Raw genomic sequence first — 17,295 nt, forward strand, 5'->3', positions numbered from 1 at the left:
TAAGTAAGCAAATGAATCAATCAAGTAATTATGGATTGAGATTGGGCCTTAGAGGAAATCAATGAAAGCAATAGCGATAGTAGAGAATAATGATAATAGGGTCTTAGGTGGGGAGATGAGAAGTGGCTTCTCTAAGGAAGAGAATGGGGTGAGTGAGCATTCCAGGTAGTGGGAATACGAAGAAGCAGGCATAAAGATCCAGGTGCAGAAAGCACTGTCCAAGAGCCAGAGTGGCTGGAGATAAGTAAAAAATGAGGAGGAAGTTGCAGTGTCAAGGGCTTGTAAGCCAAGGAGTTACTTGGGGTGATTTGCATTTCCTGAACATTCCTTTAGCTGCATAATAGAGAACAGATTGAAGGGGGACCCTGATGGGAGTGAGGAGACGAGGTGCAGTCACAGGAATCTAGATCTAGAAAGGGGATGGTGGCTGGGATGAGGGTGTTGGCGGTTGCTGTAGGCGTAATGGGTAGATTCGAGGGATGTTATGGAAATTGAATCAACAGGACTTGCTGCAAATAGATTGGACCTAGGCTGTGAGAGAGAGGGGAAAATTAAGGATATGAAATGGAAGTCCTTACCTTAATTTTTGATGATAAATATGAATACCAAGTCATTGACACCACAGGAACAACCTTTACATATTTAAGAGATGATTTACATATAATACATTTAAACATAGAATCCTATACTGTGCCTTCTGAGACAGAAAATAGTAGCTGTAAAAGCCATATGATATTTTAGGAATTTCTTCACTGGCTATGAGAACACTGGGTAAGTGTCATTCATTTTTCTCTTTGCTAGGTTGCCTGTGGTCTCAGATGTATCAACTGTCAGTCTCCCAAACTCTCCATCCCTTTAGGTTATGGCTTCTAAACTACATAATATTTTCAAAATGCTTTACAATTCTAAAACATGTTTAGCATTATGTTATGGGCAGTTTGAGATATTTGTCTTCCTAGTTTGAAGCCTTGGGCAAAGTATTAACCTCTCTTGAACTGTTTCCACAACTGTAACATGGAAATTAGTAGAAGTACCTTCATCAGTGGGTTGTTGTGAAGATGAGATGACTTAGTACCTGTAAAATGCTATGTAAATGCCTGTCACATGGCATGATTTCAATAAATTTTAGCTATTAATGTTAGTAGTCTAGATACGCTTCTTAAGAGGCGTGTGCTTCAGTTTCTTCATCTGCAAAAGTGAAGATAGTTTCTTCCACAGAAGCAAGTAAAAAAAACTGGTTTACTTCGGGAGGCAAAGCTTGCAGTGAGCGGAGATCGCACCACTGCACTCTAGCCTGGGCGACAGAGCAAGACTCCATCTCAAACAAACAAAACAAACGAACAAACAAACAACAATAACAAAAAAACTGGTTTACTGAAAAAAATATAGTGTCTTTCTGAGGAATTTGTAATTCAAGAAAAGTTACTAGTAGTTTTTTGGGTAGAATTCACCAAAGGCATAATACTTGGCCAATCACATTACACAATGCCAAATGTTCAGAAATTCAGAAACACCTATCTCTTAAGGTAGTTTTTTTTTTCAATTTTATCTGCAATTTTGTATTCAGAGAATTGCCACTACTTTGTATGCATGAAGCACTATTACTATTTCTAGTACCTTTTTATACTGTCCTACAGTAAGACAGGATTTGAGCTGGATTACAATAAAGTGCTCAGAGGCCATAAATCATTTAAATAAAAGTAACAGAACTAAAGCCAATAAGGAAGGGAGAAATGATGTAAAGATTTTATAAATATTTTATGTTGTCTATAAGTAGAAATTTTTCATGCAATTACTTCAGAATACTTTACAATCTTCTAATTAATCTTCATAAAATATCTGACATGGCAAGGTAGCAAGTATTGCCCTCATACCACGAATATGAATTGTCACTGTTTGGCTAAAGTAGAAGGTTGGGCATAGTCAGCATATATAGCTAGTCCAAAAGCATGCTTTCTCCAAACACACACGAGTTTTTTAAAAATTTTTTCCTGCAATTTCAAGTCACTCCATGATTAACTTAAGAGAGGAGGATCTATTCAAACGTAAGAATTTTTTTATTGATTCATCAAAGTTGTAACATAGAAAGCATAAAACAAAAAAAATCTGTTAACATTCATAAAATACTATTATGCAGTTGTAGTCAAAGCACAGAAACAATTTTTATTAAAGAGTTTTTTGCTCAGCATTATACTTTAAGCATTTTTATAACTCCACAATCTTTTGGCAACGATAGGAAGTTGCTGCCTACCATTCAATCAAGTTGATGCACTATAACTTAATGAGCCATTAAGTTATAATAACATTTAGGTCATTTTCAATTTTTATATTATGAATAATAATTGTGATGCAAGTCTGGCTTCCCATCTTTTGGATTACTTCCTTTTAGTAAATTATCAGATAGGAGATTACTGAGAATGTCAAAGAATATGAATATTATTGCTTCTCAGTTTGCACTGCCATCAGCAATACAGGAGGTTATAAGTTTTGCTCCCACTATTTAAACATAGGTGCTCTCACTTTTTCTACTTTCATGAGTATAATTGATGAAAGTTTGCATTTGCTAATATAGTAACTTTAAATTTTGCGTTCTGGCATTCAAAGATAGGTGAATTTACTCCATTATACTAATTATATTATATTATTTGCACACATTCATGTGCAAATACATAAGTATATATTAATATAAGTAATATATATCACCCTACTGATGAATCATTTTGTCTCTATGCTTAGATCAGTGATCTTTTTTTTCTTAAACAGGTTTTTCTAGAAATAAGTAATACCACATAATATTTTTAAGTCTTTTGCTGAGAAAATCCTGTAAACTCCCCAAGTGTCAGGTGTATCATCCATTCTTTTTACTACTATTTTGTAAGGACCTCAAGAAATGGATATACAGATTTAGTAAATAATCCAAAGAACAAGCCCTACTCTTAAGAAGCTGTTGTTTCAAGAAACCGAAGCAGATAGTTAGAGGTCTTTAAGAATGGATTGCATCTCCTTTCTCCTTCCCTAGCCTACCCCATCTCATGTCACTTTATAGCCCTTTGGATCTGAGTGATGTAAATTCTAACAATGGAGACTTAGTGAGGGCAAAATATATGAAGGGAAAACGAAGTAAAATACAAGTTGTGATGTGAGGAAAGCAGTGCAATGCATGTTTGGCACACTCGTGTGCCTTTAGGTGGTATGTGTATTTGTGGCTGTGTGTGGCTGCATGGTTTCTTGTCAAGAATTCAAGTGCTGGAATTAGACCGAGTTCAGATTACGTTTTTTTGCCACTTGCTGACTATGTGATCTTGGGCAAGTTGCTAAACCACTCTGTGCCTCAGTTTCCTCATCTGTAAAATGGAGATAATAAAAATATTTACTTTCTGAGGTGGTTGTAGGATTAATCCGTGGAAAGCCTTTAGAGTGCATGGCACATAGTAAATGCTTAATAAATGTTAACTATGATTATTGTTATTGTCACTGTATAAGAGCTTATTTCTCTCAGTAAAGAATGATTCAGTAGAGACATTTTATTCCCTTTTATTTTGTGGCACATATTCTTAGATGTTCCAAGATATTTTCCCATAGGGAATGATTTGAGCAGTATCTGGAAGATTCTGTTCTTAATTGTATCCTCCACTAATTTGCCAAGTTCCACTATTACAGCCATTCCTTTTATTTAGTCTTGCCCTACTCATTTTACTGAAATGCAGAAGGGGCGGGGTATATCTGCTGTCTCCTTCGTATCAACATGGTTGTCGGGACTTTTTTAGTGGTCAAGACCACACAGGAGCCCATGCTGCTTCTAGAGGAAGGCATGGAGATGGGAAAGGCAGTCCTTCCAGTGGAGGAAGGAAGAGGGTTGACAGCTGGCTCTATATGCTCCCCTGGATATCGCATCTTGATGTGAGATGTGTCTGGAAAGGCTCTAACTCTCTGGGAATAACAGATTCAAGAGTTATATGGTGTATCTGAACAAGAGGTTTCTGCATGACACTTGAAAGGATATTTTCCTAGAATCAGTAATCTGTGATCTGCCCCTGGGTTCACAGGGAGGATCTTGTCCACAGAGCTCTGTGGACAGAAATTGGCTGATAGCAAAGAAAAAACAGAGGGAAGAAAAGAATTAAAAATGAAACCCAGGTGCAAATGCATGTAATCCCAGGGCTATGAAGGAGCAGAAAACTTGCCTTGACTGAGAAGCTTTTTCAAAATTAAGTGGCGCAACTATTTTTAGGTTCTGGAAAAAAAAGTCCTTTCTTCCCACTAACACTAGTTTTTAGATACATAAATGACAACATTTCTGGCTAGAAAAGAAAATGAATTTCCACCTAGGACAAGTTTATAGAAAGGTTAATCATATTGATAGAATAAAATAGGCCAATTTTCACTGCAAAGAAATATTTCAGTGTGCAGAATTTCCAGAGAGAAGAACATTTTCTCATGATTTTCATTTTGGAGTTAAATTTACAGGAAACAGCTTTTAGCTCTCAAGTAGAAATAGTTTTGAATTTTTTTCTCTTTTCCTTCTAGTAATGCAGAGATCCAGAACACCATCTTCTTGTTGCTGTTGCTGCTTATAGACTTTTTAAAATATAAAAATAGTGGGTTCTTCAATTTACTGATGGTTGACTTGACTCCAAGAGGTGACCATACCTGCCGTGACCTCCCTTGTCACAGTCTCTGGAACTGTGGGCATTCTCAGGAGGCCCAGTGCCTGCCATGGTATGGCAGTGTGGAGCAATCCAGTGCTCTGCTTCCTAGAAGCGTTGGCCTATCTCTCCATTGAGAACCTTCTTGGTCAACACCTGTTTCTTCCTCATGCTTGCTACCTTGCTTTCTCAGACCATCAGGACAGTCTGAATATAAATGCCACATGTTTGTGTGTGTCCTTCTATCTCTTCCCTAGAAATTGAAACACAACTCAGTTTTGAAAGTTTGAATCCTTATGAAATCTGAAGTTAATAAAGATATATCAGCAAGAGAAACAGAAAACAGCACATCAGAAAAAGGAGAAACTGCCTGTGCAGGGAAGGCCTTGATACTGTGTCTAAAGATGAACTGCTTCTGGTGGGTGTTTGCTAGGCCTGAGAGAAGAGTGCCTTGTTGGACAAGACATCTTGCTTCAGAGAGGAAAGTAATTTGGCTGCATCTTATAGTCCATTTATCTCATTGCTTACTATGAAATTCTCCTCTCTGCCTTTGAAACACTTACTTTATCATCTGTCAAGTCCAGTTGGAAACAGGGAATTAGAAATGTTGGCTGCTTCCAGCTCTGATTCAGCACTCCAGGGGCATAAGAGCCAGGAGAAATATGCTAGTCCACAAATGAGCTGCTCATAGTAGCAGGTGGTTGATGAAGGCTGGTCAGTAAATAGTGCTGAGTCCTAGAATAACACCATGCAATAGGCAAGCGTTTAATAAATGCAATCCAAAGGTGAACTTGCGGCAGAGACCTAAACCAAGGTGACTGTATGTGGTCAGCAACACGTATGAAGCCTACTCTGTGTTTGTCTTTGCTTCCTGAGTATGACCCTTTGAGGCAAGCCTTTTTAGGGGCATGGAGCCAGGGACAAGAAAATTACAGTACTTGAAAGAAAAGCCCTCCAAGACATGCACACCTGGCTAGCGGCTCAGAAGTGACTTGTGCCGTTTTAGAGATCTGCAGTCACTTCCCTCCACAAAGCAGCAGAAATGAACATCAAGGTCTGGCCTGCTGCCTCCTCCTCCCCTTCCTTCTACTCCCCCTCCTAAGTTTCAGCTTTCCAGAATTAAAGTTTGAATGTTTACTTCCTTTTTTGTCAAAGTGAGGGACGCAGTTGGAAAGCTTCTTAACAGGGGTTATACAAAGGCTAAATCAGTAGATGGAGGAAAAGGTCAAACAGAATTCAAGAACAAGGACGTCACGTTTCTATGGGCTTATGAGTAAAACATCCTCCTCTTTGTTATGATCTATACTTCTGAAATAAGGCATCCTGCTAGGCATTTTGTAAAGAATACTGCCTTACATCCGATCTTTAGTGTACAAGTACACTCAGGACACACAAGTCCACCAGAGGGTCATTAAAACTCAAAATATCCAAATTTCAATTTTGCCTCTTATTTGTTAACATGCTAACAAACCAAAAAGCTAATAATTATTCTGTCCTTCAGAATCATTCTCTGGGTTATAAACTCTTAGTCAATCATAACATACTCTCTAAAATACCATTCAAGAACCTTCCATGCTACTTGGATTCTATATTATGTTTCTACAACAGAAACACAGTTTATGTTGTTTAACAAAAAGATGCATGTGAAATAAAGAAGAGGCTAGAAGCATGGTGAAATCTCCCCTGTTGGAAGCATTTAGATGCCGGGTACCAGCCATCTGTGCTGACTGTTGTATGGGACCCTGCCCAGCCCTTCATTTGGCTTGGCTGCTCTGCAGGCCAGCTGAACTTCCTACTCACTCCACAGTCCAGTTGGATCTCAGCATCTGTCTCTGTATACACAGATTAAACACCTGCTGGTTTCTAAACACTCTAAAGACCTCTGCTGCCCAGAGAGTGAAGGGAGGTTACAGCTTTAACAGCACATTTGGGTGATTTCTGACACTCGCTACAATTAAATATACTGTACAAAATTCACATTCTCTCCAATGTATTTCCCTCACCAGTTCTCCTCCAGATATTTCTGTAGAGAGAGAATAGCACCAGGTATTGACCCACCTGTGTTACATAGTTGGAGGGCTGGTGTCTTCCATCAGGTCCCCCTCATAGGCCCAGCAGCCTGGTATTCTCTTTTGCCAGAGGTCCTATAAAAGACAGCTGGGTTACCACTCCATGCACTGGGCCTGCGAGAAGATGGGGACATGTAAGAGCCCAAACTCTTAAGTTATTGCCATCATGTTAACTATAGGGTTTGATGCAGTCAACCAAGCACCATGAAAGACAGAGTCTCACAGCCCCTTCTGATGATACCTGCTGTGAGCATGTGGTACCTCCTCCCATCCCCACTGCCTGCCTTTAACTGGCCATGGTGTACAGCATTTTTTGCAACCTTCCTCATGTAGCAATGATCTACATTTACATTGGAGTATTTGTGAAGAATTCAGAAGTCTCTCTACCCTTGTCTTCCATGTAATCTATGCTAACTCATTGAGCATGCTGTTTTATGTCTAGACCTCTCATCTTTGAAGAGATAGAGACATAAAGTTGTCCCTACAGTGCTGAAACACTTCACATAGGCTCATTTTAAAATACCTTCAGGTCTTTTCATTGTTTCTATTTGAGATTTTTTTGGTCTCTATGCTAACAAGTATGCCTTAGTAGGAAAAGTCTTTTTATTTCTTTTAGTTTCCAATTTTATCATAGTTGAGTCACGTTATTTGTATCTTGAAGGAATTTTAATACTAGTAGAGGCTGGAGACTTGATTCTACCTCATTAACGCATCTCCTTCTGCCCCTCCTTTTTTGGTCTTAAAGTCTTCCAAAGCAGCTCAGCAGTCTTTCTCTATTTCTAGGCATATACTTTTAATAAACTTTCCCATAAGTATCAATGACAGAGTGCTTGCAGATGTATTCTGGGATTGTCAATGGAACCAAAAGTTTATGTGTCAAACATGAAAAGGAGAGTTAGTGAGAAAACTAGTGCCTCTCATCTCTCTCACTAATATATCTCAGATAGCATTGAGAATGCATAGAGGAGAACACTCTGTAAGAAAACATTTTATGAAATATGTATCACAGCAGCCATCATGTTCTGTTCTTCAAAGGGCCTCATTTCTCACCTTCCTGGGATTAGCTATGGAACTGGAATATAGATTAGGCAATATCCATTCCTTTATAGCTAGATAACTTTCACAGGTTCCTAACCCACTCGCCTTTGATTTTATATGTTGTTGTTCTAGAAAAATAAATAATCATCATGTGAATAGAGCTCTGCTTTTCTAGATATTATTACACATGATCCATAACCTACTCCTCATTCATCTTTTATCACATCATTTAAGTGTCTTTTAGCTTTATAAATCTTTCTTTTCTGCCCCTTCCACATCCTCTTGAACTATACTTGTCCCCACTCCAAACCAAAGGAACTAAGAACCTTGCCCATAATAAAATTCCAAGCATTTCCCCAAGTATAGGAAAAGAGGAGTTGTTAAGGATGCAAGATAATTTACTCATGAATGACTTCTTAGCTGAACCAAAATAGAAATAAACTTTTCCAAGAGTGGAAGAAATGGTGACCTTTTGTTCCACAGATTTTCACAAGACAAATTGAATCTGACACCAATTGTCTTGGATCTGGACTCAGAGGAAATTCTCTCTAGGCCATTTGGGAAAGGAGTTCCCCCCTCCTACTCCCAGTTCACCCCAAACTCTCCCATCCCAGTCCTTCCATTCCCACCCATTATTCTAGGGCCATAGAGATGACTCAGAGTCTTAACTTATCAAAGTGCACTGGACCACCCATATGCATATTTCCCAAACCTGCACTGTCCTTTGGAACCCAGAAGGTTTGCTGGTTTTATGCCAGCCAACCTTGCACACAGGAATCTCCACAGGCTGGAAGCCCTGGTCCTTAGGATACACCTTTCCTAAATGGCCTACAACCCATTCTGCCTACAGGTCTGCAACCTCCCCCTCCCCAAAGTGGAATGAGGGGGTGGATCTAGGTCCCTATCATTTATAGAACCTACCATAGTCTTGGGGAATCTTCCCCCAACTTGATAGTTCTGTGCTGTCCTTCCTCTAGGTAATGTCTGCCTTTACCCCTAACATAATCCCTCCATGGGATGCCAGAAACAAAAGGGATACTTCTGGGAGCATTTGCTTTAGCCCCCTCAGTTTCCCTGCCTAATAGAAACTATTCAGATGCCAGGATATTCCAACCTTAGGGGAGGGTCAGGCTCAGTGGCTCACACGTGTATACCCAGGACTTTGGGAGGCCAAGGCAGGAGGATCACCTGAGGCAGGAGGTTCGAGACCAGCCTGGGCGACATAGCAAGATCCTGTCTCTACAAAAAGTTAAAAAATTAGCCAGGCATGGTAGTGCATGCCTGTAGTCCCACCTACTCAAGAGGCTGAGGTGGAGGATCACTTGAGCTCAGGAGTTCCAGGCTGCAGTGAGCCATGATCACACCACTGCACTTCAGCCTTGTATCATAGCAAGACTCCCACCTCAAAAAAAAAAAAAAATTAAAAACCTTAGAGGAAAAAACCACAGGAGGAAAATCACATAACTAAATGCCTCAATACGTTTTTTTACTATCAACATAAACTAAAACCTAGTCTCTTGTTAGCCAAGCTTTCTGAAGTTAACCTATGTTATCTATCTCTCTCAAGGAAGAAATGACCCAAGGTCAGGCTGATCTCTTATTCATTCCAAGGCACTATATCAGCAACCGAGTCATTAAACAAGGCCAACTCTGCCTTTTTCACTGTGAGAACTTCATTAGATTTATCTGAAGTGTGCTTGAAAAATAATCTAATTTATGTTGCTCCAAATAGTTTAATTAGAATTCAATTAAATTCAACAGAATGCATACATCATTTTACATGGTGCACCTTGATTTATTTTATTTGCTTTTTTTTTTAAAGATGCAGTGGAGTTATTTGACCCTGCAGTATTATATCCAAAATAATCCATTTCATGCATAAACAACCTGGTCTTCAGGAGCACTAAGGGGGAAAATAATGTGTGCTCATTATTATGCATGTCACGTACAACTCATTTGAATTTAGTCTCTTTGGCAACGCGTGCACCGGTGAGATAGGTGCATCATATCAGTTCACTTATACTTCCATAGAGGATATTTTTTAGCCCCTCCCTTGTTTTTCAGCAGAAACACACACACACACACACACACACTCAAATGGATCAATCAAGGAAAATAAATGATATTCAGATTCTGTTCAAATCACTTTCACAGTCATGACGAAAACTTTAGGGCGTCAAGGGAACCAAGGATGGAGTTTAAAACTGTCTTCTTTTTTTTTGTTTTTTGAGACGGAGTCTCGCTCTAGTGCCCAGGCTGGAGCGCAGTGGTGTGATCTCAGCTCACTGCAAGCTCCATCTCCCGGGTTCACGCCATTCTCTTGCCTCAGCCTCCCGAGTAGCTGGGACTACAGGCGCCTGCCACCATGCCCGGCTAATTTTTTGTATTTTTAGTAGAGATGGGGTTTCACCGTGTTAGCCAGGATGGTCTCGATCTCCTGACCTCGTGATCCACCCGTCTCGGCCTCTCAAAGTGCTGGGATTACAGGCGTGAGCCACCGCGCCCAGCCTTTAAAACTGTCTTCTTTATGGATAGTTCAAAATACTAAATCATCTGGAAATGGCTTTTCTGTTATGGAGTAGACATGCAGAACTGGGATACAATCTGTCTTGGGTACTATGTAAGTGCCATTGGAAGGATGCTGACTTTCCAGGAGATGACTGACTTTCCAGGAAGGCCATAAAAAGTCAGTCTATCTTTTGGGTTGTTGGTGGCCATGAATCAGATTAATATGGCAGAAATCTCCCATGGCTATTTCTGTTATTCCAGAAACATGGTGGGGATAGCAAGTGTCTTTTCCCTGTGTTTTCTTGCTCCCAAATTACTTGTAGCTGAAGCATGCACAAGTAGAAAGTGAAGCCAGTGTGCTCTTGGTTTACCAGTCTGCCGAAGCTGTTATCCTTAGCATTGTTCACCATCAGGCAGCATTATTGCTGCTGTTATATCAAAGGAGCATTAAATGGCTGTAAAAACCTGGGGATGGTGGTGGGGAGGAGGTAGGGAGCTAGAAAATATACTTTAGCACAAAAAATTTTTCGAGTTATAGTGTTTATTTTTCAGCTATTGAAGTTTTACTTCATTTTCCCTTTAGTGGAACTTTAAAAAAATGGATGAAGCCATTCCCATTTCTTTTATTTGAAAGACAAAATCTTAATGTTCTCTTATTTGGTATTTTGTCACATACCCATCAGATGTCCTGTGTGCCCGTGAAGAGTCTGGAAACATTATAGCAGCCTTTACTAGGTGAGACAGATGAGCAAGGTGCATTGAGTCAAAGATCTGAAATTACTTGGATTTACCCAAATTTTGACATAGGATAAAATGAAGGAAGTTGCGTCTTGGTTCAGGCTGCTGTAACAGCATATAGTCATAGGCTTCATAATGATTAGAGTCAATGATGGACGGCACATATAACAGTGGTCCCATAAGATTTTAATGGAGCTAAGAAAGTCTTATCACCTAGAGACGTTGTAGACTTCATAGTGTAGTAGCGCAATGTATTACTCAGACATTTCTGGTGATAGTGGTGTAAACAAACTTCTATGCTGGCAGTCGTACAAAAGTATAGCACATACAATTATGTACAGTAATACTTGTACTATATAATTACGTATTATAATACTTGATAGTAAACATGTTATTGGTTTATGTATTTACTATACTATACTTTTAATCTTTTAGAGTGTATTCCTTATATTTTTTTTTTTGTATAAAAGTTAACTGTAAAACAGCCTCAAACAGGTCCTTCAGGAGATATCCCAGAAGAAGGCATTGTTATCATAGGAGATGACAGCTTCATGGGTATTATTGCCCTAAAGACCTTCCAGTGGGACAAGATGTTGAAGGGGAAGACAGTGATATTGATGACCTTGATCCTTTGTAGGCCTAGGCTAATGTGTGTGCTGCATTTTAGTTTTAACAAAAAAGTTTAAAAAGCAAAATAAATAATGTTAAAAGTAGAAATAAGCTTATAGAATAAGTATATAAAGAAAATATTTTTCTATAGCTGTACAATGTGTTTATGTTTTGAGCTAAGTGTTATCACAAGAGTCAAAACATTTTTAAAAATGAAAAAAGTTTATAAGGTAAGAAAGATACAGTAAGCTAAGGTTAATTTACTATTAAAGAAAGGAAAATATTTTAACTAAATTTAGTACAGCCTAAGTTTATAAAGTCTACAGTAGTGCCCAGTAGTGTCCTAGGCCCTCACATTCACTCACCACTCACTCACTGACTCAAGCAGAGCAACTTCCAGTCCTGCAAGCTCCATTCATGATAAGTGCCCTATACAGGTGTACCATTTTTCTGTTTTTTATACCATATTTTCACTGTACCTTTTCTATATTTAGATATGCTTAGATACACAAATACTTACCATTGTGTTACAACTGCATACAGTATTCAGTACAGTAACATGCTGCACAAGTTTGTAGCCTAGGAGCAATAGTATAGGTGTGTAGTAGGCTATACCATCTAGGTTTGCGTAAGTACACTCTATGATTGCACAATTATTAAAATCACTTGAGGATGCATTTTCATTCTTAAGTGATACATGACTGTACCATAGACTGGGTGGCTTATAAACAACAGAAACCTATTTCTTACAGTTCTAGTGGATGGAAGTCCAAGATCAGGGTGCTAGGATGGTCAGGTTCCTGTGAGGGGCCCCCTTCCTGGTTGCAGACTGCCACTGTATCCTCACATGGCAGAAAGAGGGCAAGAGAGTTCTCTGGGATCCTTTTTACCCTGTTCATGAGGACTCCATCCTCATGACCTAATCAGCATCCAATGGCTCCACTTCCTAATACCACCACATTGTGGGGGAGGTAGGATTTCAACATATGAATGTTGGGAAGAAACAAACATTCAGTCCATTACGAGATGGTTTGTAAATGGTTTCATCTGGAGAACACAATAAATGACTGCTTTCCCTACCAGTCCTCGTTTCACTGGACTGGATTTCACTGAATTCCACTGAGCCAGGTGAACTGGAGTGTACATTTATGTTCACAAAAGTGATACTTCATTTTTTTTCCTTCTTTGTTCTTAAAGAAAGTGTCAGTGGTTCCCACAACTTGAGGGCCTGAGACTGGTTTTTAGTTTTATCCTTGGCAGTGGCTCCTCCTAAAACAGGCTAATTGCTTTTACATAGAATATGAATTTAATGAGACTGCTTATTTTCCGAATAAAAATCTTAGGTTTATAATCTGCCTGACATTTTTGTTTTGCCTGATGTTTTACCACAATGTTTGGTCTTGGTAGCTTTTAAAAAGGTTGAGCTTTTTATAAACCTCATAAACCAGCTTGAGTTGTCTTTTCTTTTCACTCCCAGCCCCCTCATCATTGTCTTTTTTAAAATAAATTTAATGTATATATTTAAGGTACACAACATGATGCTACTACATATATAAGATACACATATATATGGTAAAATAGTTACTAGAATGGAACAGATTAACATATCAAGTCTTTAAACATTCTCCTTAGATTGCCCTGCCTCAAGGGCTTTCTTTCCCACTGGTCTATCCTCCTTTTCTCTTCCATCTTAATGGCAACTGAGAAGCTTTTGAGATTTCCCACTTTATGACATCCCTTTCTTCTAATTGCCTTTTTCTCTGTTAAGCCTGAAGCAGGAGTGGCAGTAACAGAATTATATTTATTCATTTTTTTTGTTAGAATCATCCCTGCAGTAGAAATTTCAACAGGTCAAATTTCTTCCCCGTCATTATAATATTTAATTATGGTAAATATCCAATTTTCATTCTTATAGAAGACCTTTTCGTCTAGAATAAATTTTATCTAGCCCATGCTGCAAAAATTGGATTTCGATGTAATTTTGAGGCATCTTTTAAGGCAGTCTGTCAAAAGTGCTGAGATAAAATTACTCTTTTATTGTCAGGTTCTTGTAACAGGGCAATTGGAGTCATCTTTTGATGCAAAGAATGATGAAGAAAAATGTCAGCTAGCCTCCACTCTGAATTTTTTTACTACTTGAAAGCAAAGGCCAGATATCTTTGTCTTCTAAAATGAGGCATAACTCTCCTACTTATTTATCCAGGTTCTCTGCATGTTCTTTCAAGTTAAATGCATAATTGATTATCTCAGTTGATTATACATTTTTCAAGCAGGTTTTAATTATGTGTGGAGAAGTTCAGCACTCGATGGAATCTAATTTTCCCAATTTGCTCATCTTTAAATACACTACATTTCAAGCATAAAAATGTAGTAAATAAGTGACAAAATAATGAAATTTGACATGGGTTTTTATTTTAAGAGAAAGTGAGTCACCGATCCACTTGCATACTTTCTTTGTTTTTATTTATTCAATAGATTTTAAAGTTAGATGTTTGCCATTTGGCCTCAGAGTTCACTAACATAATTCAAAATGCAAAGCTAAAAGCATTGTGTAAGGAAAAATGCCAAAGTCATTTAGCAATGTATAAAGAAAAAAACAGCAAAAGTAATCCTTAAAAGGTTGCCCCCTCTTTCCTACTCTCCAAGATGTTATTAAGTGTGAGAACTAGAGTCAAAGTTCCTATTTAAAACTAAAATCTGTTAGTTTCATAATACTCATTTCATGTAAGACTTCTTAAATATTCCTCATTTCTTTTTTGTTTTCCTTCCTCAGTTTCTAAAGGGCAGGAATCCTCTAAACTTTCCAAACTGGAGAATAAACTTCTTAGTCAGAACTTGGGGAAAGAATGCTGAGATGCATGTTAACAATATTTTTTCTAGTTTTTTTCTAAATGTATCATAATGCAATTTTATAGACAAATTTAAGTAATCACTGAAAGTGTTGGTACTTCCAAATATACTTAAAGATAATTAAAACTATTCTGAATATCGACCATGAGGTAGTTACTGTCAGAGGCAGTTTATATAAACCACCTTATTTAATCCTCATGACAGCCTGTGGGATATGTATTATGATCTCCATTTTATAGATGAGGAAAATGAGTCTCAGCTAGTTAGTGGCAGTTAGGATCCAAATTCAGATCTATTTAGTTTCAAAACTTTTCATTTGACTATACCATGATGGTTTTCTGATGGAAGATGGCAAAGGCTCTTACCAACCAAGCTAGTGATTTAAAACTTATCTTTTTAGTTCAACCATTGTGGAAGACAGTGACTCCTCAAAGACCTAGAACCAGAACTACCATTTGACCCAGCAATCCCATTACTGGGTATATACCCAAAGGAATATAAATCATTCTATTATAAAGATACATTCATGCGTATGTTCAGTGCAGCACTATTCACAATAGCAATGATATGGAATCAACCCAAATGCCCATCAATGATAGACTGGATAAAGAAAATGTGGTACACATACACTACAGAATACTATGCAGCCATAAAAAGGAACAAGATCATGTCCTTTGCAGGGACATGGATGAAGCTAGAAGCCATTATCCTAAGCAAACTAACACAGGAACAGAAAACCAAACACAGCATGTTCTCACTTATACATGGGAGCTGAACCATGTGAACACATGGACACAGGGAGGGAAACAACACACACTGGGGCCTGCAGGGGGTCGGGGGGAGGGAGAGCATCAGGATAAATAGCTAATGCATGCTGGGCTTAATACCTAGGTGATAGGTTGATAGGTGCAGCAAACCACCTTGGCACAGGTTTACCTGTGTAACAAACCTGCACATCCTACTCATGTATCCCAGAACTTAAAAAAAAAAAAAATTGAAAATGTTAAAAAAAAAAAAAACCTTACCTTGTCAGTTGTCTCTAAAGTAAGAGTTCACATCCCAGGGGGATATGTGATCCCCTAGTATTACGGAAGAAAATATTATCATTACTTTATATGTGAAAAGGAAGAAAACAATATTTATTTTATATGTGGAAAAATAAGAAATTAAGCTTCATTAATTTTTAACATGTAAATTGACCCTTGTGCAATCACTCAGTTAAGTCAGACATTCAAATCTTTCTTGTTTTTCTTTTTCAAACAGCTGCATAATTTTATTTTTCTTTTCCTTATATTTTTCTTCTCTCTTTTATTCTCTTCCTTCCTTCTCTTTATTTTTAATAACAAATTTGTTGCGGTATAATTTACTTACCATACAATTTACCCATTTAAAGTGTACAATTCAATGGTTTTTAGTATATTAGTATTTCGTATACAGATCCATGCAACCGATACTACAGTCTATCAATGAACAATTTTATCACCTCAAAAAGAAATTCGTACCCATTCATTAGCTGTCACTCCCTACCTCTCCATACCCACAAGCCTAAGCAAGCAGCTGTTTCCTGTCTTTGTGGATTGACCTGTGCTGTGCATTTCATAAGAAGGGAATCATGTGGTCTTTTCTGACTGGCTTCTTTCGATGAGTGACTCTTTTAAGGTACATCAGAGTCTTTGACACAGGAGTGAATGTTCTGCTACCAGAAGGGGCTTTTCCTAACTTTGCTTTACTTATGTGGATCTGGTTAAAGGATTTTGCAGTTTTATCAGTTCAGTAACTAAACTTTGCAAAGAAATAGTATTGTTGATTTAAAAATAATTCCTACAGAGAAGCTGAAAGTCAAAGAGAATACCAAAATATACTGTAAGTAAGTAACACAAAAAAGGTCAATTAAAACTTCTCTTATTTTTAATCTGACCCTTCTTCATCAGCCACATTACAGAGTAAAACAAATAAAATAAAATGTAATCATATGCAACACAAGTATTAACTAAAATTTGTAACTGTCAGCAAGACAATTTTAAATATGGATTTATTTCCATTTTTATTAAAGATTGGCTTTGTTCTAAGTATACAGTATACCTTAAGATATTGCCTGACATAATGTTAGCAAGCAATTAAAAAACTAAGCAACCATAGCATAAAGATAACCTCTGCAGTTTGGGGGTGTGGGGAGGTTACATTTAAAGTTATGCAACTCATTACTTTAAAAAATTTTCATTAAATGTAATAATAATTGTTTAATTAGCCTCAAATTATTAAGAAATAAAATTCTTATACTATTGGGAAAACCCTTTTTCCTGTTACGGTAAAGATGGCTGCAATACACAGGAAAAACAGGATGGCCACAGATTAAAACACATTTTTGTGTTGACAATTAATGTTGAAAGACACATAGAAAGACATGCTGAAGATTTGAGGAAGCAAATCGTAGAACACTGATGCTTTGCCATATTGGGATGAAAGTACAGATGCATCCAGCATGCCTCCCTCAGACAGGCCTGTATTATGGAGCTAATGGAGTGAGTGGGAATGCCTCATTTGCAGAAAGAGATATCTGGTCTTCAATCTTGCCTCTTACTGAAACTCTTTTTTTAGCCATAATAAAAGCAGGATTTGTTTCTAACTAATGGAATGAGCAGATAAATATGAGGACATTATGGCTGGTGCTTACTTCATGTCTTTTGCTCGAAAATGTCAAAGAATGATTTCTTCTGAATTAAAACTCTACCCTGCACTTTAAATTCCTCTGTGCTTACCTCTGTTTACCCATATCTTCTATTATTATGATTTCTCACTGACCAGCCAAGTGATTCCATGTCAGTCCCTGCTTCTGA

The 17,295-nt window shown here is 37.9% G+C and overlaps 1 protein-coding gene and 1 long non-coding RNA gene across 3 annotated transcripts in view; one reads left to right on the forward strand and one right to left on the reverse strand.

The window, feature by feature from the left end:
- The window catches only part of SLC35F1 (solute carrier family 35 member F1), a 410,408-nt gene that overhangs the window by 221,886 nt on the left and 171,227 nt on the right, over positions 1 to 17,295 (forward strand). The window lies entirely within an intron of this gene.
- The window catches only part of LOC107986523 (uncharacterized), a 48,119-nt gene continuing 32,862 nt past the window's right edge, over positions 2,039 to 17,295 (reverse strand). The window contains exons 3-4 of the long non-coding RNA XR_007059722.1: positions 6,705 to 6,829; positions 2,039 to 5,381 (exon numbers count right to left, since the gene is read on the reverse strand). This is a non-coding gene — a long non-coding RNA (uncharacterized LOC107986523). The remainder of the gene's footprint in view (positions 5,382 to 6,704; positions 6,830 to 17,295) is intronic.

This window comes from Homo sapiens, chromosome 6 (genome assembly GCF_000001405.40).
Source record: "Homo sapiens chromosome 6, GRCh38.p14 Primary Assembly".
Classification (NCBI taxonomy): Eukaryota; Metazoa; Chordata; class Mammalia; order Primates; family Hominidae; genus Homo; species Homo sapiens.